Source organism: Homo sapiens, chromosome 12 (genome assembly GCF_000001405.40).
Source record: "Homo sapiens chromosome 12, GRCh38.p14 Primary Assembly".
NCBI lineage: Eukaryota > Metazoa > Chordata > Mammalia > Primates > Hominidae > Homo > Homo sapiens.
This window is the reverse complement of record NC_000012.12, coordinates 103,873,865-103,896,308: the sequence shown is the minus strand read 5'-3', so window position 1 is coordinate 103,896,308 and position 22,444 is coordinate 103,873,865. Positions and strand designations below refer to the sequence as shown.

Sequence of the window (22,444 nt, the reverse complement as noted above, 5' to 3'; positions counted from 1 at the left end):
CCCCATCTCTACTAAAAATACAAAAATTAGCCGGGCTTGGTGGCAGGCGCCTGTAATCCCAGCTACTTGGGAGGCTGAGGCAGGAGAATTGCTTGAACCCGAGAGGCAGAGGTTGCAGTGAGCCAAGGTTGTACCATTGCACTCCAGTCTGGGCAACAGGAGTGAAACTCCATCTCCAAAAAAACAAAAACAAAAACAAAAAAGAATATTAATGCATTTAATTCGCACAACAACCATATGAGGAAGAGACTGTGCTCATCTTCCCCATTTACACAAGGCGAACTGAGCACAGAGATGGTAGGTGGCTTGTCTAAGGTCCTAAGATGGTTAAGTGGTGGACTCAGAATTCAGACATGGGCATTCTGGTTCCAGCCACTGGGGCCTTTCCCCATGCACATATCTGCCCCCTATTTTATACTTTGATCAGTCTTACTGTTTTTTGTGTTTTATAGTTTGGCCTACCTCATCTTCACTGGTTTTACACATACAAAATCACATTCATGAGTTGTCATCTTCAGTTTTTCTCCTGTTTGAAATAATATTGGATCAGTGGAACCTCTACTAATACTTGGCACTAGTTATTACTTTGGGAAGCAGCTTCTTTAAAACTTAAAACTCTATGTAATCAATCAGTTATGTGAATAAGATCTGTTTCTCATAGAAAATATGATAAAAAAGAAGAAAATAGGAAATTAAATACACTCATAGTCTCACCACTGGTAACTATTTTGCTGCTGTATACCCTTTTTCCTATGGATATCTATATCTATATATATATATATACATATACATATACATATTTATGTAAAGAAGTTACACACCACATTGTTTCCTAACCTGCTTTTTAATTTAATATATCATAATGCTGGGGTCGGTAGCTCATGCCTGTAATCCCAGCACTTTAGGAGGCCAAGGCAGGCAGATCACTTGAGGCCAGGATTTTGAAACTAGCCTGACCAACATGGTGAAACCCCATCTCTACTAAAAAAAAAAATACAAAAAATTAGCTAGGCATGGTGGTGCACAACTGTAATCTCAGCTACTTGGGAGGCTGAGACAGGAGAATTGCTTTAACTCAGGAGGTGGAGGTTGCAGTGAGCTGAGATGACACCACGGCACTCCAGCCTAGGTGACAGAGTGAGACTCCATCTCAAAAAAAAATTGTATATATACCATGAGCACTTACTATAGGCAAAGCACTATTAGCAAGGACAGACAGACATAATCCCTGCAAAGAAATGGAGCTTTCATTCTAGTGGGGAATGGCAGACATTAATGAAGTCATATCACTCAAATAAATATAAAATTGCAACTGTGACATGTGCTGCTACAGATTGGTATGTAGTATTGTGACAGCCTCTCATGAAGGGATGGCTTTCTAGAAGAATGGCCTGAGGCAGAGCTCTTTAGAAGGAGGAAGGATGGCCAGACAGTTACCTGAAGCAGTTTAGGGCAGCGATTAGGAGCCTGCCTCTGGTGCCAGACCCTTGGTTTGAATCCCAGCTCTGCCACTTAAGCTAGCAGAATGAATTAGATAAGGCATGTAGCTCCTCTATCCTTGAGTTTCTTTCTCTGCCTTTCTAGAGTGTTGTCATGAGGATAGAATGAGTTCATGTATTAAAATTATGCCCAGGATTTAATTTATAGAGGTATGGTCGGGCGACCACATGGAGAGCCCGGTACCACTGAAAGATGAAGTCATTACTTATGTTTCCTGAGAGAAGGGGACACGCTGTGCAGGGACCCAGGGAAAGGGTGGTCAGGAGGCAGAGGACAGGAGCAAGGGGAAACTGAAGCCAGAGCCTTTACTGGGGTTTCTATAGGCATGGCAAGGCAGGGCAGGGTAAACAGTTTAGGATTGGCTAATTTGAATTTTTTTTTTTGAGACAGCATCTTGCTCTGTAGTTAAGGCTGGAGTGCAGTGGCGCAATCATGGCAATCATAGCCTTTACCTCCCGGGTTCAGGCCATCCTCCCACCTCAGCCTCCTAAGTAGCTGGGACTGCAGGCTGTGGGTATGAGCCATCATGCCCAGCTAACTAAAAAAAAATGTTTTTGTGGAGATGAGTTCTCCGTATGTTGCCCAGGCTTAATTTGAATAATTCTGATGGGCTTTGGGCACAGAGGCTGCCTCTAGTTGTCTGGTATTTGGCCCTGGGTTGATTTAGGGCAGGGTTGTTGTGTGAGTTAGATCTGCACGCTAAAGGCAGATTCCAGGCAGGCTGTCCACCACCTCCAGTAGTTAGCTAGCCTTGGGAAGGGCTGGGTCTGTAAGGTCCTGAGGAATGTTAAATCATCCTAAGATGCAGAAATTAAAAACCATAATTAATACAGTTAGTACCTACAGACACATTCAACACAGTGCCTGGCTCAGAGTGAGTATGTGATGGTTGGTGTTATTAGGCAAAGAGGTATTGTGGGAAAGGCTATTAAAGGAATTGAGAAAAGATTGATCTTATTAAGTATTTATTTTGTTCCAAAATAAAATGATTTAACTCATGATAGTATTGCTGCACAAAGTGACAACTTCTCAGCATAAAATAACATCCTCTTTTTCAACTGAATGGTTCCAATTGCACTCTCCAGTTTCCTCTGGTTATTCCTGTAGGTCATTCTTCAGAATTACGTGATTTTATTAAATTACTTGCTCCTAGGAACCTCCTCTTTTTAGAGTTTGCATTTGCACAATCAAATTCATAACTGACACATGAGTCAAATACGGTTCTATTGAGTGTGACCTGATATTTTCTTAGCACCATAATGCCTACAATTCAAGTTACTATTAATAACCTTCAATCCAACCCTTATTCTCTACTTACTCCCCATATTGTACCTACTCTAAGTTGAAAAACCATCAACAAAGTAATTTTAAAGTCTTTAATGTTTTCAAATGTCTTTGATTCTCTCCATCAGGTGAAAGATTTTTCCTGGCTGCCACACTCACTCTCCCCTCATTGCAAATTTATCATGAGCACTGTCTCTTCCAGCCTGTCCTACAAGTCGTTGTGTGCCCGCCCGGATGTGAGGACAGTGGAACTCATTAGCACAGGAGATGAAGAAACAAAATTAAACATCTTTAGAAAGCATCTCTCCATTCCCATGATGGACCCCTTCGAACAGAGCACACAGGCGTTGAGGAAAAAACCAGACCTGAGTCCTTTAAAACTCACAATCCTAGCCAATGAATTGAAAGAATATAGAATCAACCACAATGAGTTTCAGTGTATGAAGGAGTACTTGGAGGCTGTCTCTGTTCAGGAGCTCTGGGAATTGGTTCTCAAACGCTGGATTGAAGACTACAGTTGGACGTTTCAACCCAAAAGGGCAAATTCAGACACTGTGGCTTCAGGAGAAGGTAGGCCTTGGCCACTGTTGACAGTTTAGTGGGAGTCCACAGGGAGAAAGATGAGTGGTAGATTCCTGCACAGGGAAGGGGGCTCTAGGGACAGGGTTGTCAGGGAAAACACAGGATGCCCAGTGAAATTTTTCTTTTTTTTGAGGCAGAGTCTCATCTGTCGCCCAGGGTGGAGTGCAGTGGCACGATCTTGGTTCTCTGCAATCTCCGCCTCCTGGGTTCAAGAGATTCTCCTGTCCCAGCCTCCTGAGTAGCTGGGATTACAGGCACCCGCCACCACATCCAGCTAAGTTTTTGTATTTTTAGTAGAGACAGAGTTTCACCATGTTAGCCAGTCTGGTCTCATACTCCTGACCTCGGGTGATCCACCCACCTCGCCCTCCCAAAGTGCTGGGATTACAGGCATGAGCCACCATGCCCAGCCTGCCCAATGAAATTTGAATTTCAGATAAGCAACAAATGATCTTTAGTGGAAATATGTCTGAGATATTGCATGGGACATACCTATGCTAACAATTATTTGAATTAGAGATAAATAATAATTATCAGTATAAGAATGTCCCAAATATTACACAGGACATACTCAACACTAAAAATTAATTTATTGTTTATCTGAAATTTATATTTTACTGAGCATCCTGTATTTTTATTTGCTAAATTTGGCTCCTCTAAAGGACTCTGTGTGTTGGCTGTAAGTAGAACTGTATTAGACATAAATTTCAGTCACATTTTTCAAGAATCTAAGAAATGGAGCTTTCTTATTTCTATAAGTCAATGTATCTCTCTTCTGAGCCCACAGGCCTGCTGATGGCAGACACCTCATCAAGTCATTTCAGGTTAATTCCATCAATATGGTTTGTTTTCAGTGAGCTCAGGATTTTCTCAGTCAGGCAAGGATTTGTGGCCTTCCCATATCTCCTTTGGGTTGATCTGAGATCCAAGGGCCTGGGTGCTGGGTGGCCTTGGTTGTTCTCTGTCCCTGCCGTCTTCCACCTAGGTGGCCATGGTCTCCATGGTCCACAGATGTTGACTTATCTGCACTTCTGGCTTCCTCTAGGACACCTGTGTGCCCATCTGTTCTAGGTTGCTGGATCTATGTGGCTCCCGTCTGATGGGGGCCACATCCTAACAGAGGGTCCTCTCTCCTCAGCCAACTTCTGTGCTCTGCTTGAGTCTTGTTCTCCTCTCTGATTCTCTCCTGTACTTTCTCAGTTCCACAAATGCTTTTCCTCCTGAGTGGGGGAAAAATCCTCTTTAGATCACCCTGAACTTATCTGAGTTTATTGTTTGTCATAAAAAAAATTTATTCCATGTGTTAGTCAAGAGTTTTTTTTTTGTTTGTCTGTTTTGTTTTAAGCTAGGGTCTCACTATGTTGCCTAGGCTGGCCTCCAACTTAAGGGATCCTCCTGTCTCAGCCTCCTGAGTAGCTGAGATTACAGGTGTGCCACCACCTCACCTGGCTGCAGGAATGTGTTTTATGATATTCAACAATCAGGCTTTTGAGAGTCAAAATTTGTTCCCTCAAGCCATTGTTCCTACCATGAACTTCAAAAGTCTATTTTGAAACTTGAGTTTTTCTCTGTTTTTCTCTGCTATAACAGTCTTCTCTTAAGGGCAGTGAATTTAAAATGGAGCAGGGATGGGGAAGTGGGGGTGAGAAGCAGAAAATACTTGGAATGAAAGACACAGCTGGGCACAGTGGTTCATGCCTGTAATTCCAACACTTTGGGATTCTGAAGTGGGTTGATCACTTGAGGTCAGGAGTTTGAGACCAGTTTAGGCAACATGGCAAAACCCTGTCTCTACTGAAAATACAAAAATTAGCTGAGTGTGGTGGCACGTGCCTGTAATCTCAGTTACCTGGGAGGCTGAGGCAGGAGAATCACTTTAACCCGGGAGGTGGAGGTGGTAGTAAGCCAAGATAGTGCCACTGCACTCCAGCCTGGGCCACAGAGTGAGACTCCTTCTTAAAAAAAAAAAAAAAAGAAAGAAAGAAAGACACATTGATTGGTGCAACATATCGTCCTGCCCTGTTTTTTTGTTCTACAGTTTGCATTTCTGTAAAGAAAATTGACTTCAAATTTACTGCGCCCTGCTGCACCTACAAGGAGGTGGAAACTAGTTCTCTGTGCCCTTAGAAGAGTCACTCAGGCAAAGTGGCCTGTGGCTGTGTTGCCCTCCATCTCCAGGTTTGTGCAGGAAAGCCCAGGTCTCCTCCCCACCAAAGACTGCTCCACCCCCCAGCTCTGCCCAGCCACTGCCACTGAGGCCCAGGGAGCTCAGCCACAGGTGCAGGAAGAGCTTGGTTAAGCTGAGGCCAGCTGGGTGCAGTGGCTCACACCTCTAATTCCAGCATTTTGGGAGGCCGTGGTGGGTGGACCACTTGAGCCCAGGAGTTTGAGACCAGCCTGGGCAACATGGTGAAACCCTGTCTCTACAAAATATACAAAATACCAGTCAGATGTAGTGGCATGCACCTATAGTCCCAGCTACTAGGGAGGCTGAGGTGGGAGGATTGCCTGAGACCAGGAGGTCGAGGTTGCAGTGAACTGTAATTGTGCCACTGCACTCTAGCCTGGGTGACAGAGTGAGACCCTGTCTAAAAAAAAAAAAAAAATGCTAAGGCCAACATCAGGGAAGCTTGGCTGACTGGGGTTGCACAGCTCTGCCTTTGCTTCAAGATTGCAGGTAATTTGGGCTCATTCCCTAGTCCTAGCATAGGAGATAAAGTCAGAGTGGTAGACTGTGTGTTACCATTTCTCTGAATGGTCTGAAGGATCTCTTTGTAGTCGGCTGATCATAAAGCCAGAAGGAGGTCCAGCTATGGTGGAAAAATCTAAGGGTAAGGTGGGTAATGAAGAGCTGGCTTAAGTGGTGTCTGTGACTGTGCGACAGGAGAACAATCATACAGAAAAACCACTCACAGCCATAAATGCAAATTAGGTGTTGGAAAACCTTAATAAAGACTGCTAGGCAGAAATGCTTGGTGTAATCATCAGCAAGCTTTCCAGTGTGTAACCAGAGCTCTGGATGTGTTCGTTGTGACTGTGGATGATAGCTTAATGGTTAACAGTATGTATGGGCTCTGGAGCCAGGCTATCTGGGTTCAAATCCCAGTTCTGCATTTATTTCTGTGTGACCTTGGGTAAGTTATTTCACTTCTCTGTGCTCCGTTTCCTCATTTGACAAGGGCTATAATAGTATTTCCTATAGGATGATTGAAAAAGAAGGTTGTTGAATCATATAAAACATTTAGAAAGATACCTGGCTCATGTTAGCTCTGATTCTTGTCATCATCATGTTGCCTGTGCAGGACTGGACAGCTGGGTGGCCGACGCTCTGTGCTTACTGTGCCTGTCGCATGGTGGCTTGGCTGAGGATGAGCTACTCCAGCTTTTGGACATGCTGGGCTACAGGAATCATTACAAAGTGACCGCCTTGCACTGGGCTGCCTTCCGCAACGCCACCAAACAGTGGGTCCAGGAGAAGCCCAATGGCCTCCTGTATTTCTGGCACCAGTCCCTGTGAAGTGCAGTGGAGCACAAGCTTCTTGGTAAGTAAGGCTTGAGTCTGTGGAAATACCTGCTGGTTAAGGGGTTAAGGGAAAGCAGGAGCCACATACAAGGGAAGCCTTGTAGTTGGGATTTTTCCCATAGAAACAAATCCACAGACATATATAAAAATGGTTATATGTTAGGGTTTGTACTTGATTATGAGTAACTGAGACCTGACTTCAATGGCTGGGGTTTGTTCTCGCCTATAATAGACTTCTGGGAACAGGCAGTCCCGAGCTGCTCTGTTGGCTCCACAGAGTCACCTGGGTCCCAGCTCCTTCTGTGTCCCTGATTCACTACACTGCGTGCATTCTCAAGGCCACTTCATCGGATGGCTGCTGGAGCTCCAGCCATCAGGAAGGAGAAAGGGAGGAAGAAGGGCTCCCCACTTTCTTTTAAGGAGCTTTTCTGGAATTTCCATACCAACATTTCCACTTAAGAGTCTTTGACTCAGAACTTCATTAGTTGGCTACAGCTAGATATGAGGGAAGCTGGGGATGGAGGTTTCGACTTGGTGCATTGCTACCCCAAACCAAGGTGGTGTTCTGACACTAACAAAGAAGAGGTAAATAGATTCTGTCTCTGCTCCAATTGTTTGCTTTTTTTTTTTTTTTTTGAGTCTCGCTCTTGTTTCCCAAGCTGGAGTACAATGTTGTGATCTCGGCTCACTGCAACCTCCGCCTCCTGGGTTCAAACAGTTCTCCCGCTTCAGCTTCCCCAGTAGCTGGGATTACAGGCACCCACCACAATGCCTGGCTAACTTTTGTATTTTTTTAGTAGAGACTGGGTTTCACCATGTTGGCCAGGCTGGTCTTGAACTCCTGACCTCAGGTGATCTGCCCGCCTCAGCCTCTCAACTCTTCTCTAATTCTGAAATCAAATTCGTATCCCCTACTGAAAAGGACTGCAGGGCTGCACCTAGGAAACTTTGGCAGTCACAGACACCTGACCTAGGAGCAGAGCACTGTTTGTCAGTTACTTGCATAGAGCGCTTCAGGTCTGAGGACTTGAAAAGTCTTTAAATCACAGTCACCGGAAAGATTCCAAGCTCTGCAAATTTCCTTTTAACTTTACTATGTTCTTTTTTACTTTCCTTTTTAACAAGATAAATCCTTTATACTGTTTCCCTCCTACATTGTAATCATTCCCACTGTCTCAAGTTATGTGATGTGGAGGAGAGAGAAGGCCTAAGAATGAGGATGCTCTTAGATTTATGTATGGTCCTCTGTTCACTTGCTGTGTGATGGTTTGCAATGCATTCAATTTCTCCATTTCCCTGAGAGCATTAATACCCTTGGTCGTGCAGGGACTAAAGTGTCATGGTGTGGCTGTTAAAATTCTGGGTGTGTATTGCACCCCATTTGCTGCACTGTCTACCCACACATAAAGCACTGCTGACAGTATTCACTACTGTCAGGAAAAAAAAATGTCATGCTGCAGAATCAAGCTGTGAGTAGCATCAGGAATTGTAATAGCAGTAATTCACCTCCATGTGGCCTGGGCAGGAGAAATAAGCCCATCCTCCAAGGATGGGAAAGATCCAAAAGCCAGAGCTGTAGTACTTGAATCCACTATGTTGGATTTTTTTTTTCCTTTTTGTTGTTGTTGTAAAGGGCTCTCTTTCTTGACTCTTGTCCAAATGTCATATCAATCATTTTGAGGTAAGCTGGTCTCTCTTAGTCACATACATCTGCATGCATCTTGCCTGTGAAATTAATGCCCTATCTAGCATTATATTCAATTTGTAACCTAAATTACTCCTACCATAAATTGGCTAACCTAGAGAGACCCTTTGACCTCTAGGCTGTGATGGAGCAACCTCTTTTCTCTTCTGTTACTAAAACTGAGGATCGTTTGGTCTTATATACTTTGTATGTTGCACACATGTGTGTGCATACACATATGCATGCATATTAGTGTGGCTTCAAAGGAATAGGGCAAAGGAGAGCTGTAAAGCTGAGAAATGCTCCTCTGTTGCCTATAGGCCATTACGTCTTGTTAATACTGATCATGATAGCCACATTTGTTTTTAGTTACAAAATTTAATTGTAAGGATCAAGCAGTGGTTATTTGTCAAACCAATCCACATTGCCAGCTTTGAAGTGTTCAGATGCAAATCTTTTCTTTTTTTTTTTTTTGAGACAGAGTTTCACTTTTGTCACCCAGGCTGGAGTGCAATGGCGCGATCTCGGCTCACCGCAACCTCCGCCTCCTGGGTTCAAGTGATTCTCCTGCCTTAGCCTCCTGAGTAGCTGGGATTACAGGCATGTACCACCACTCCTGGCTAATTTTGTATTTTTAGTAGAGATGGAGTTTCTCCATGTTGGTCAGGCTGGTCTCGAACTCCTGACCTCAGGTAATCCACCTGCCTTGGCCTCCCAAAGTGTTAGGATTACAGGCATGAGCCACCTCGCCCGGCTGCAAATGTTTAAATAAATGTGATAAATACCAGTCATGTTTTCCTAACATTGTTCAGGATCTACCTGAACTTGATTCTGGACATAGTTCAGTACAAAAGCTTAGGAGAAAGATAGTGTAATCACCAATAATTAAATTAAAGACAGCCACATTTTTTTTTTCAGTGCTTTCACTGTGCCAGGCACTTATATATTATTTTACTTATTTCTCATGCAACCAGAACATTCTCAGACTAGGCTAGGTCATTTCCCACCAGCACCCTGGAAAGTCCTCACCTGCCTCAGATGTTCCTGAGTCCATGGCAGTGTCACCTGTGCTCACTCATCTGTTTGTTGGCTGTAGTCACCAGAGAGTCTCTTCTGGTTTCTGCTTAGCAATGTAGGTGCCTCACGACTGTCCCTGCTTGTGTTTTTCACTATGAGAAAACCAGACTTCATGCTAGGGGTCCCTCCCTCTCCTTTGGTCTTAAAGCAGCCAGATCTTGAGGTGCTGGGGTGGTGCTGGGTTAGTGCTGGTTTCCATCAGAAGTAGGGGCGGGCATCTCCTGGGAGATCTGAGCACACTGCATGCCCTTCTCCGGCAAACCCCACCCTTCTCAGGCTCTCAGGGAGCCCTTCCTGGAAAGAGCCTCTTTCATTTCTTCTTGTAATGCTGCACCCTGTAAGAGTTCCCAAAAAACCCCAGTCTATGGAGCCCATTTTTTCCACCTCTGTTGAGTAGAAGGAGTTTATATAGCATAGTGGTTAAAACTGGGATCCCAATGCCGGACTCAGGATGAGCCCTGGATTTCCCACTTGCTAGTTAATGACCTTGGCCACATTATTTTACCACTTTGTGTCCCAGATGCCTCATTAATAAAATAAAGTACCACCTTCATACAGTTCTTACTTGTGAGCATTCAGTAATGTAAGTTCTGTAAAGCACTTAGCATAGTGCCTGGCGCATAGTAAAGTCTCAAGAAATGTCAGCCACTATTAACTCCTTCTTCGTTTTCCTCATGAATCTTCTCTATGGCCTCCTACCCACCACTTTTCCCAGATGGCCCATGCAAATCAACTGGTGATCTTGACTTCTGTGGGCCTAAAGATTATTCTGTTTCATCAGGCACCCTCAAGTAAGTCTGAATTCCCTGAGACCCATTCTAGTTTCATTGAATAGATGTTTGCTGAATGAATGTGCAGGTATGCTTGGCTGCTGGTTTTTTGGATCTGCTGTTTCTAGCAGCTTCCATCTCTATTGTTTTGAGGGTCAGTACTAAACCTCAGCCTCCAGTATCTGCCTGGAATCAGGAGCTGGAGGGCTGAGCACAAGAGAGAAGGTGTGAGCCACCTGTACACAGCACCATGGTCTTTGGAACATGAACAGCCTCATTGCTCCCTGTCCCTGTCCTCATCTCATGCTCAGGTCTGCATGCTGTTTGGCAAACAGAACCATCTTCCCTCCTTCTGGAAATCACCATGGCATCTTACTAGAAATGATTTCTCGTGGAGAGCAATGGCTTTGGGTTTGTATAGAACTGGTGTGACCTGACGCGAGGTGCTTACTTACCTCCCTAAGACTCAGTTTTTCACCTGCAATGTAGGGATAACAGTATTTGCCTTGAGGGTAATAAAATGCTAATTCGTGTAAGGTATAGCATCTGGCACTACAATAAGCACTAGTGGTGGCCATTTGAGCCAAATGCCAAAATTTCTAGCCCACCCTCCCCCTCCCACCATGGAAAACACTTCCTGGCCCCCTTGTTGGGTGGGGCCTTGTGACTAAGTGGCCACTGGCAACATTCAAGATGGCGGCTACTCTGTCAGTCCCACAGGAAGGAGACCTGGATTGGAGTTCCCAGTCTCCAACCTGTGATGGACATAATAAACCTTTGCTTTTTTAAGCTACTGAGATTTGGGGGTTGTCTTTCAGTACAGCATAATCTAGCCCACCAATCTAGCACTACATAAACATTGGCCATTTAGTCTATCATTGAGTGCGGCAATGTGTATAAAGATGATGCTGGGGTCAAACCATTCCTCACATCATATGTGTAGTTGGAGGAGCAGTGGCATTAAACCAGAAGGTTGGAATGCTACTTCTGTATTTACTGGTCATGTACTGACCAGGGGTAAGTCACCTGTCTCTCTGATTTTGTCAAATGGTGATGCATATCTATATCCTCCTCATGAGGTTATTTTAAATTAAATGCTGCATTTTCTATGAAAATGTTTTGCATACTTTACGTATAGTGTTTAACTCTCCAGATCTTGAACCCAGGTACTATTTATGCCAGTTCTTTTTCTCCCTCATTCCCACCCCACTTTCCCGATTTATAACCACACACATAGTTTTGCCATACACAGTGGAGGAGGGGAGTTTTTTTCCTGCAGGGGCCTGTTAGGGACTGCACTTGCCATCTGGACACATCTGCACGCTTTAGACGAGATAGCATGGGGTCTCTCCATATGGGTGGGTGACCTGGAAATCATGTAAGTGGAAATGAAGAACAGTTGTTTAAACAATGAGTTCCCCTTTTGTTAGAGTTCTTACGAAGAGCTGGGCTTGGTGTGCCACCTAGCTGTGTGTTCCATTATCTTGCAAGAAAAAGTGACAAGCAGAAAAGTTAAAAAATACTTCTATTTTAGTTTTCAAGGACAGAAATCACCAGGATTTAGTTAAACAAACCCTTTTGTTTTTGAGAAGCTTATGTCTGGGTAGTATGATCTACTAGAACCATATCTCTTTGGAAATGAAGATATAGTAGTCCTGGCTCCAATATTAAATTTGCCATTTGTTTGCCAGCTACCCCTTGGCTCATATGAGATCCAGGCAATGGCTTAACTTCTCCAAAATACACACTATGAAATGTTCAAAAGTGCTTATTTAAGCAGTAACCATAGTGTATATTTAAAATAGAAAAGTAGGTTACAAATGTTTCCTTGGGGGAGGGGAAAGACTTAACATGGAAAATCAACATGTCCACAAACTTCTCCAATTCTAGGTCAGCGAGCGTAACTGGAATAAATTCTTTGGTAAATTCAGACTGATGTGTAAGACACAATTTTTTTCCAGTTACACTGACTTTTATTTCTCTAATTACAGCCACAGAGTTGTCATATTTTTGCTGCAGTATTTTCAAGTACTAAAAAGTCAGAGGCATTAAACTATAATTGATTTTAAAATAGGTGTAATCACTCCTGTCTGAGAAAGCAGTCCATGTTCATTTCAGACCCCAATGAACCACAAGAAAACACATTTTCACCAAGTGTTGATCAGATACTTCCAGCGGCAAACCTCTTTCTGGAGAGTGTATCAAGAATTGCCATGGCATATGAAAATGAGTGGATGCTTGCGGGGGTTGTGCGGCTTTCTCTCAAGCCCTACATGAGTCTTGCCGTTTTTATATCATTGTATTTAGGCAGATTTAGCTTTCCCTTTTACCAGTGCTATGTTTAGATACCCATGTTCCCTTGAACAAGTTGTGTCATTCATTTATCCATTCAAGCACTCATCATTCATTCAGATGGAACCATCCTCTGGCATCAACTTCTGTAGTTGCTGGATCTCCAGGGTTACTCCCCTTGGTCTGTCTGGCCCTGCAGAGTGTTCATTTCTCCTCTTCACTCTATGTGGAGTCCTCTCAAAGTTAAGTGGCATTCCAGAGAGAGGAGGGCAAGGATGAGAGCTGGAAAAGGTAGAAGATTGGGCAAGCTCTGCTAGACCCTCCTATCTGCTTCCCTTCCATTCCCTTCTTTTCCCTATGCTACTTCCCCTTCCCTCTTACTCCCTCCCACCCACCTCCCTTCCCTTCCTTGTCTCTTTCTTCTTTTCCTCTGACTCATTAATTCAGCAAACATCTATTTATGACCCATCCTGTCTCCCACAACCTGCTAGGCCCTGAGGGTGCAGAAGTGAATAGATACAGCTCTAAGCCTGTAGGTGCTTTCCATCTAGTGGGGGAAGATGTGGAGCCAGAGAATTACTGTACGTGGTGATAATGCCTCGCTAGAGCAATGTTGCAATGAACTTTTGCAAGCACAGAAGAGGGAGGGGCTGGTGCTCTGCCTGGTAGACCCAGGGAGCCTTCTCAGAGGAGGGGGCTTCCTGGGTGGATCAGGAGAATTGGCTTTGACTGCTGAAGAGTGAAAGGCTCATATTTATCTGGTGATCTCCAAAAGATATGTTAGGTAAGATGTTTATGAATAGGCTACTGAAATGTGGTAAGTAGAAGAGCTTCCTTTAAGGCCTGAAATACTAAAATGATATCTATTAATACATTGTGTCACAAGTATCACAGACTTTATATCAAAAATCCAAAGCCTGGGCTTCTGGACAAGGCTGCACCTCATTCACTTCTGGAATGTATTATTGGAGGCCGGCTATGATGTCTCTGAGGCCTATTTACTTTCAGTGGCCAAGATTAAAGCAGATCAGTGCCATACAATGAGGAAGAGCGGTACACTCTCAGGTATGTGAGTTGCAATGTTTCAGTAGTCCATTTTGCTGGGATATAGAGTGGCCAAAGTTATGATTCTCCTGTTTCCTCACATAATTCTGATCAATCCAACAGACCTCCCTGATTACTCCTTTCTACAATTGAAGCCAACAAGTTTTGAAGACAAGAAATCAGGAAAAAGTGTTAATTTTGAAATGGCTTCTCTTTATCTTCTTGCAGTGACTCTTTTTTTCTATTTTCTATTTTTTATTTTATTTTTTTTTTGAGACGGTGTCTTGCTCTGTCATCAGGCTGGAGTGCAGCGGTGAGATCTCGGCTCACTGCAACCTCCGCCTCCTGGGTTCAAGTGATTCTCCTGCCTCAGCCTCCCGAGTAGCTGGGACTACAGGCAAGTGCCACCACACCCAGCTAATTTTTGTATTTTTAGTAGAGGTGGGGTTTCACCGTATTGGCCAGGATGGTCTCGATCTCTTGACCTCATGATCCACCTGCCTCAGCCTTCCAAAGTGCTGGGATTACAGCCGTGAGCCAGTGCGCCCGGCCACAATGACTCTTTTTTAGGGGTTTGTCCTTAACATTCTTTCTGTCTCTCCACTTTTTCGTGGCTTCAACCACAGCCTTAATACCTTCTGTCTTTCCAGCTTGAACCTCTTTTTGGAGTACCAGCTACATCCCCTCTTTTATGAGAGCTAGTAAGAGTATTATTGCTTGATTAACAACTTTCCTGAGTGAGCAGTTAACATTTCAAATTAAATAGGTGAAAACCTACATTATTTCAGGATTTTCTCTCCCAAATTGTTTTTCCCGTGATCCCTCTGCCTGCTGATGGTAGCAGCAACTTTTTCCATCACTCAGTATTGAAAACACTATTTCAAGGTGGCCTCAATCAAAATGAAGGCAGCTATTCTTTGACCTTCTGCTTCTGTGGCTTGGGTTTGGACAGCACTTTGGTTAATATTTCTTCCCTTTGTTCTCCATAAGCAAGCCCCTTTGCCTGCCCTCTCTCCTCTCACTCTCTTTCATCCTGCATTTCCTGGCTTATTAAACAGAATAATAACCTTCATTCATTCTTTCAACGAGTATTAACTCAGCACCTTCCCTGGACCGTGAACTCATGGACTCACTGACACAGCAATGAACAAGGAAATGAAATCCTTCTGGGCTTTACAGTTCAGTGATCATAACAGATTTTGAGCATTTGTTATATGCCTGGCTTTGAGTTAAGTACTTTATATGTGTCACTTTGTTTAATTCTCATAAAATTGCTATAATACTAGTAATATCTTGATTGAATTTAAGGAAACTGAGTCTCAGACAGGTAAGTTGCTTGAGGTCTGCCAGATAGTTAGGAATAGATTTGGGCTTTACCACATTTGTACCCCTTTTGATCCTTGAACATCTAGACTTTGCCTTGATCCTTATTGTCACGTATGACTTAATTTCAGAATTTGTCTGACCCAGCAATCATCCAGGTGGAAGAACCCAGGCACTCCTCATAAAGATACTTGTGTGTGGAATGCAGCCAGGATCTGTCTGGACATGGATCTATCTGGAAGTGTGTCAGTGCTTAGGGATGCGGGGCAGGGGAGTGGAGGGAAGGGGGCAGGAGGGGACGTTTCTGTTTTTCACAGGAAGCTGAACACTAACCAGAGGAAGACTAAACCTCCAACAGGGGGTAAAAGTCCTTCCAGACAATGCCACAACTGCTTTTCATAGCATGGTTGTTATGGTGATGTAAGGGGCGAGGGGATGAGAGTTGAAACTGGTAGGAAATCACCTAATATTTCAGCGTGTGAAGATTTCCTGGATGTAAATGAGCCGAGTTAGAATTAGGTGGGGAACATCGTAGAGCTCTCCTGGTGATTCTGTAAACATGATGTCACCTGTATCAACATCTAAGATCCTGCTGGTTAGTATCTGTATTATTCTGGACCCCCAGGGGCCTCTCAGCAAGTAGTCCTGGCCTCCATAATTGCCTCTCACATACATCAGATTAAATCATGCCCAAGTCCTGTAAAATTTACTTCCATGAAGCCTCTGGCATCCATTCTCTCATCTCCGCCAGGGCTTCCTTTTGTCTGTCTGGACCAGTTTCATAAAGCAAGGCTATGATCTAGCCACTCTACTTATTGTAGCTGTTCACTGTCTTACCTTACCTCCCACCCTGGCTGGGAGAGTCAGCCCATGGCCATTTGGGGGAGTTTTCCCCAAAGTCCTTCCAGGACTGTGTGGGCCTACTTTTCTCTGTGAGTTGCTAAAAGTAGAAGTCACAAGCTTAAGTACTTATCACCAAAGTAAGAGAAAAATTTGTTAGATTCATCAGAACAAGGTTTAATTACAGCAGGAATCTCATATCATAGCCATAGGAGGTATTACAGTGGTCTGGTTAGCTGTCTGGGCCTCCCCAAACATGTTTTCTTATCATGATTATGTAGCCACACACAGCCCTGAATCAATTCGCCCTCCTGGGGTGCTGCTGGAGGTAAGACCCTTAACTGGACTATTTTTTTTTTTCAAAGAATTCTGGGAGAAATCCTGTTTTATCGTGTGCCATCCTGGGAGCTGCCTGCCAGTTCAACCCTGCCCTCCTTTTGTAATAAAGAGGTCTGGGCAAATGCTGACATTCCTCCAAACTAATTTGACACTACTAACTGAGGGCCTGCTTGTGCCATGCGTGGTGCTAGATGCCAAGGATACAGCAATAAGACAGACACGGTTCCTGCCTTAAGGCAGCTTATGGTCAGGTGTAAATGACAGACATTAAAAAGCAATTTGGCCCGAGAAAAGACGTTCAAAGTGGTGGTGGCATAGAACATAGAGCAGGGAGGTGGCTCCTTGTCTTCAATCTGACAGAGTGACAAGGGGAAAGAATTCCAGGGAGAGGGAACAGCAGGGTTGAAGATCCAGAGTTGAGAGGGAGCGTAGTGAGTCTGAAGAACTGAAGAGTCCAGCATGGCTACAAGAGAAGGTGGACAGTGAAGGGAGCCCTGAGGCTGCAGAGGCAGGCAGGAGCCCAAGTACCAAGGTCATGCTAAGGAGTCAGCCCTTATCCAAACAGCCGTGGGCGGCTATGAGGGGATTTAAGCAAGATGGTAACAGGTTTGGTTTTAAAAGGTCACCTTGGGTATTATGTAAAGAATGAAACGAAAAGGGACAAGTGTGGTGTCACGAAGAGCTTCTAGTAGTAATAACCCAGATGGCAGACAATGTTGGCTTAGAAGGTGGGGTGGAAGGTTTGAAAATAGAATCCACAGGACGCAATCATCAATTGGGTGCAAAGAAATGGAGGAGTCAGAGATGACTCCCACGGCTCTGACGTGAATGACTGGGTAGATGACACGGCCATGGACCCAAACAGGACACACTCCCAAAGGAGGGGGTTGGGGGACAGAACCCATGTGGAGTTTGGAGTCACTGTAGAAAGCCAGGAGGGGGTAATCACTGGGCTCAGAAAAAGAGCCAGGCCAGAGATGCATACCTGTTTCTGGATGGAAGCCAGGAGAGGGAAGGAGATTGTCAGGGAAGGGGAGAAGAGAGGTGGGCCTGGGACAAAATTCCAAGGGGTAAGCAGGGGAGAAGGAAGCAGCAAGGGGAAGAAGGAGGAGTTAGAGGGTCAGGAGGAAAACTGGGACTGACAGTTCGAAATTCCCCCAAGGGAGGATGGATGTCAACTGAATTAATTTAATTAAATATCTTCAGATTCCATTTTGAGTTACCATCTTCTCTATGCTGTGTTGAAGCCCTACTCTGATACTTGACATTTTTAGTAAAAGTCTGTTACAAACAAATGGTTTGGGGAAAATAAAGGAGAATCCATTGTGTTCTACATTTGAAGACTGTGGATCAGAGAGGGGACAGCAAGCAGCCTCAGGAAGTGCAAACCCAGCTGGGACTTTGGGGCCCAGGTGGGGGCAGGAGTTTAGGGTCTGGAGCATCAGGTAGAGTCAGGCATCACCACTGATGCCAGACAGATGGGGAAGGGGATGTAGGACAAAAACTCCTTTCCCCCAAACCCACCAGTGGGAAGAAGAGGCTTGAGGAGGGGAGGGCCAGATCCCACTATTGGGTGGAGAAGAACTTTCCAGGCAGGCATGCTTCAAAGTAGAAAGAGAGCTCCAATTCCTTGCCTAGCTTCTCTCCCCATGCAGGAAATGACTGAGGATCCCCTTTTAGGGTCTCATTCTTCATTATCCCCTGCTGCTTTGAGAGATAAATAGGCTACTTATACTTTTGACTGCTGCCTACTTCTGGAAAGTTCTTTAAAATCCCAGAGTTTTCTAAGGGTGCCTCAGTTTCATTAGTTGGCTGGGGGACTGGAAGAGTGTCTGATGTCTCTCTTGCTCCTCGCTCCTCGTTGCTGCTGCTGGGGGATGGAGTGCACACCTCTCTCCTAGTTTTTCCCTCTGGACCGTGAAGTTTGGCTCCCTCTGGTGGTTTGAGAATGACAAACCTAACAGGTTGATGGGAAATGATGTGCAGTTTGGAGTCTTGAATTTGTATCTCCTTGGGTGCTTCTTGCCCAGTCTACTTGGTGCCTAGGTTTGTCCTTCCTTGCGGCACTCATCTAGGGAAGTTGCATCTCTGATTGATGACCGGTAGGGAGGGCTTTGAGCCTAGAGGACAGCTTCTAGGCTTGGGTCAGTTTTTATAGATTTCCTGTGGCATAATACTCTTGTTTTTGGTGGGAGCCCTGGGCCACATCAAGGTGAAGAAAATCCAATTCTAGCTGAAGTTGCAGTTCTGGACTCTGTCAAAGACAAGAAGAGACAGACTAGGAGCAGATATGGCATGTGCAAGCAAGCGATGGAGGTACTCAGAGACATGATGCCTATGTATCCAACTGCCTACGTAAGTCTGCACTTGGATATGGTCTCCAAAACATCTTAGACCTAAGATACCTAAAACTGAACTTGTGAACATCCTTCCAAAAGCAGGTTCTTTCCCAGGAACTGTCTCTGAAATTCCCACCTTGGAGTCATCCTAGTCACCTTCCTCTCCTTTACCTCATCTCCAAGTCTATTTCATCAATGAGCCCTGACGTTCTTTACTTCCTGTTTTTCAAAGTTGTTCACTTCTCCATCTCTGCCACCACTGTCCTTCTCTAAGCTATCATCAGGGCAGCCATATACAGTTGGGAAGATTACTAATATGCATTTAGGTTCCTCTGTGTCTTTTCATGGTTTAGACTTCATTCATTTTTATTGTTGAATAATATTCCATTGTATGGATTTACCACAGTTTGTTTATTCATTCACTTGTTGAAGGACATTTTGGATAATTTCAGTTATTGGTGATTATGAATAAACCTGCTATAAACATTTACATCCAAGTTTTTGTGTGGCCACAAGTTTTCAAATCAATTGCGTAAATATCTGGGAGTACACTTGCTGGATCGTATGGTAAGAACATACTTTGTTTTGTAAGAAACTGTCAAATTGTCTTTCACAATGGCTGCAAAATTTTACATTTTCTCCAGCAATGAATGGGAGTTCCTGTTGCTCTGCATCCTCACCAGCATTTGGTTTTGTCAGTTTTTTGGATTTGGGCCATTCTAATAGGTGTATAGTGGTATCTCATTACTGGTTTAATATGCAATTGCCTAGTAACAAATGATGTTGAGCATCTTTATGTATACTTACTTGCTACCTGTACATCTTCTTTGGTGAATTGTCTGTTCAAATCTTTTTACCATTTTTAAATAAACTTTATTTTAAGTTCAGAGGTACATGCGCAGTTCACTATATAGGTAAATTGCATATCATGGGGGTTTGGTGTACAGATTATTTCATCCCCTAGGTAATAAGCATAGTACTTAATAGGTAGTTTTTTGATCTTCACCCTCCTCCTACACTCCAGCTTCAGGTAGGCCCCAGTGTCTGTTGTTCGTTGTGTGTGCATTTGTTGTGTTCATGTGTACTCAATGTTTAGCTCCCACTTATAAGTGAGAACATGCAGTATTTGGTTTTCCGTTCCTGCATTAGTTTGCTTAGCATAATGAACTCCAGTTCCCTCCCTGTTCCTGCAAAGGACACGATCTTATTCTTTTTTTATGGCTGCATTATATTCCAAATTGTGAATATACCATATTTTCTTTTTCTTTTTGAGACAGCATCTTGCTCTGTTGCCCAGGCTGGAGTGCAGTGGCGTGATCTTGGCTCACTGGAACCTCTCCCTCCTGGGTTCAAGTGATTCTCATGCCTCAGCCTCCTGAGTAGCTGGGACTATAGGTGTGCACCACCACACTCGGCTAATTTTTGTATTTTTAGTAGAGTTGGGGTTTTGCCATGTTGGCCAGGGTGGTCTCGAATTCCTGACCTCAAGTGACCCACCTGCATCAGCCTCCCAAAGTGCTGGGATTACAGGGATGAGCTACTGTATCCAGACCCATATTTTCTTTATCTAACCTACCACTGATGGGCATTTAGGTTGATTTCATGTCTTTGCTATTGTGAATAGTGCTGCAGTGAACATACACGTGCATGTGTCTTTATGTAGAATGATTTATATTCCTTTGGGATATACTCAATAATGGGATTGCTGGGTCAAATGGTAATTCTAAGTTCTTTGAGAAATTGCCAAACTGCTTTCCACAATGGCTGAACTAATATACACTCCCACCAGCAATGTATGAGCCTTCCCTTTTCTCTGCAACCTTGCCACCATCTGTTATTTTTTGACTTTTATAGCCATTCTGACTGGTGTAAGATGATATCTCGTTGTGGTTTTGATTTGCATTTCTCTAGTGATTACTGATGATGAGCATTTATTCATATGTTTGTTGGCTGCATGTATGTCTTCTTTTGAAAAGTGTCTGTGCAGGTCCTTTGCCCACTTTTTATTGGGGTTGTTTGTTTTTTGCTTGTTAATTTGTTTAAGTGCCTTATAGATTCTGGATATTGGACCTTTGTCAGATGGATAGTTTGCAAATATTTTCTCTTCTATATGTTGTCTCTTTATTCTGTTGATGGTTTCTTTTGCTGTGCAAGAGATCTTTAGTTTAATTAGTTCCCACTGTCAATTTTTGTTTTTGTTACAATTGCTTTTGGTGTCTTCATCATGAAATCTTTGCCAGAGCCTATGTCCAGAAAGGTATTTCCTAGGTTATCTTCTAGGGCTTTTATAGTTTCAGGTTTTACATTTAAGTCTTTAGTCTATTTTGAGTTGATTTTTATATATGTTATACAGAAGGGGTCTAGTTTCAATCTTCTGCATATGGCTAGCCAGTTATCCCAGCACCATTTATTGAATAGGGAATCCTTTTCCCATTGCATGTTTTTGTCAACTTTGTCGAAGATCAGATGGTGGTAGGTGTGTGGCTTTATTTCTGGGCTCTCTAGTCTGTTCCATTGGTTGATGTGTCTATTTTTTACACTAATACCATGCTATCTTTATTAATGTAGCTATGTAGTAAGTTTTGAAGTTGGATAGTAGTCATGTTTTAATTTTGTTCTTTTTCAGTACCATGCTGGCTATTGTAGTGGATACAATTGTGTCTTCCAAAAAAGATATGTTCAATTCCTAAACTCCTTATTTAACCTTATTTGGAATCTAACCTTACTTGGAAATAGGGTATTTTCAGATCTAATCAAGTTAAGATTAAATCATACTGGGTTATGATGGTCCCTAATCCAATGACTAGAGTTCTTATAAGAGAGAGAATTTTGAACATAGGCACACAGAGAAGAGAGCACCACATTAAGACAAGGGCGGAGATTGGAATAATGCATCTACAAGCCGAGGAACACCAAGGATTTCACAGAGTCACCAGAAGCTGGAGAGAGGCAAGGAAGGATTCTTCCCTGAAGCCTTCAGAGAGAGCATGGCCTTGCTAATACCTTGGTTTTGGACTTAGCCTCCAGAACTGTAAGAGAATAATCTGTTATTTTAAGCCACCTGTTTGTGGTAATTTCTTATAGCAGTCCTAGGGAGCTAACATAGCTATTAGGGGTCTTTTGCCTTTTCATATAGACATTAGAATTAATTTGTCAGTATTTACATAATAGCTTGCTGGGATTTTGATTGGAAGTGCATTGAATCTATAGGTCAAGTACTGAATTGTCATCTAAACAATATTGAGTGTTCCAGTCCATCACCGTGGAATACTTATTCATTTATTTAGATCTTCTTTGGCTTCTTTCATTACAGTTTTGTGGTTTTCTGCATATAGATTCTAAATTTGTTAGATTTATGCCCATTTTATTTGCTTTCGGTGCTATTACAAATGGCATTGTGTTTTTAATTTCTAATTCTAATGTTTATTGCTGGTGTATTGGAAAGCAATTGACTTGTGTGTTAACCTTGAATCTTGCAACCCTACTATACATTACTTGTTATTTCCAGGAGTTGTTGATTCTTTGGGATTTTCTACATAAACAATTACAGCATTTGTGAACAAAGACAGTTTTATTTCTTCCTTCTCACTATGTATACCTTTTATTTCCTTTTCTTGTCTTATTGTACTAGGTAGTACTCCTAGTATGATATTAAATAGAAGTGGTGAGAAGGGATATCCCTTTCACTGGCATCACTCTAGTGAGCCCATGCCACCATTATTATCTCTCACCTGGCCTATTGTAATAGCCTACTTACTGGTCTTCCTACTTTAGTTTTTGTTCCTGTGAAGTGTATTGTCTGTGCAATAGCCAGAATTAGGTTTTAAGAATATAGACCAAATCATGT

At 43.3% G+C, this 22,444-nt stretch overlaps 1 pseudogene across 1 annotated transcript in view, besides 2 other annotated features; it reads left to right on the top strand.

Annotated features, from left to right (window-relative positions):
• Positions 1–22,444, top strand: part of TTC41P (tetratricopeptide repeat domain 41, pseudogene) — an 86,463-nt pseudogene that overhangs the window by 33,903 nt on the left and 30,116 nt on the right. Inside the window, exons 6-9 of the transcript NR_027249.1 lie at positions 2,913–3,358; positions 6,679–6,908; positions 12,495–12,705; positions 13,599–13,777. The product of NR_027249.1 is annotated as a tetratricopeptide repeat domain 41, pseudogene (transcript). The remainder of the gene's footprint in view (positions 1–2,912; positions 3,359–6,678; positions 6,909–12,494; positions 12,706–13,598; positions 13,778–22,444) is intronic.
• Positions 15,405–15,654: an enhancer, noted in NCBI's record as "active region_6896". NCBI's record gives its function as "activates an Ori minimal core promoter by ATAC-STARR-seq in GM12878 lymphoblastoid cells {active_cell/tissue: GM12878}" and the evidence as "EXISTENCE:reporter gene assay evidence [ECO:0000049][PMID:35858748]".
• Positions 18,948–19,117: an enhancer, noted in NCBI's record as "experimental_23502 CRE fragment used in MPRA reporter constructs". NCBI's record gives its function as "activates a minimal promoter by MPRAs in K562 erythroleukemia cells, with activity observed for both the introgressed and non-introgressed 12:104271055 variant alleles {active_cell/tissue: K562}" and the evidence as "EXISTENCE:reporter gene assay evidence [ECO:0000049][PMID:34662402]".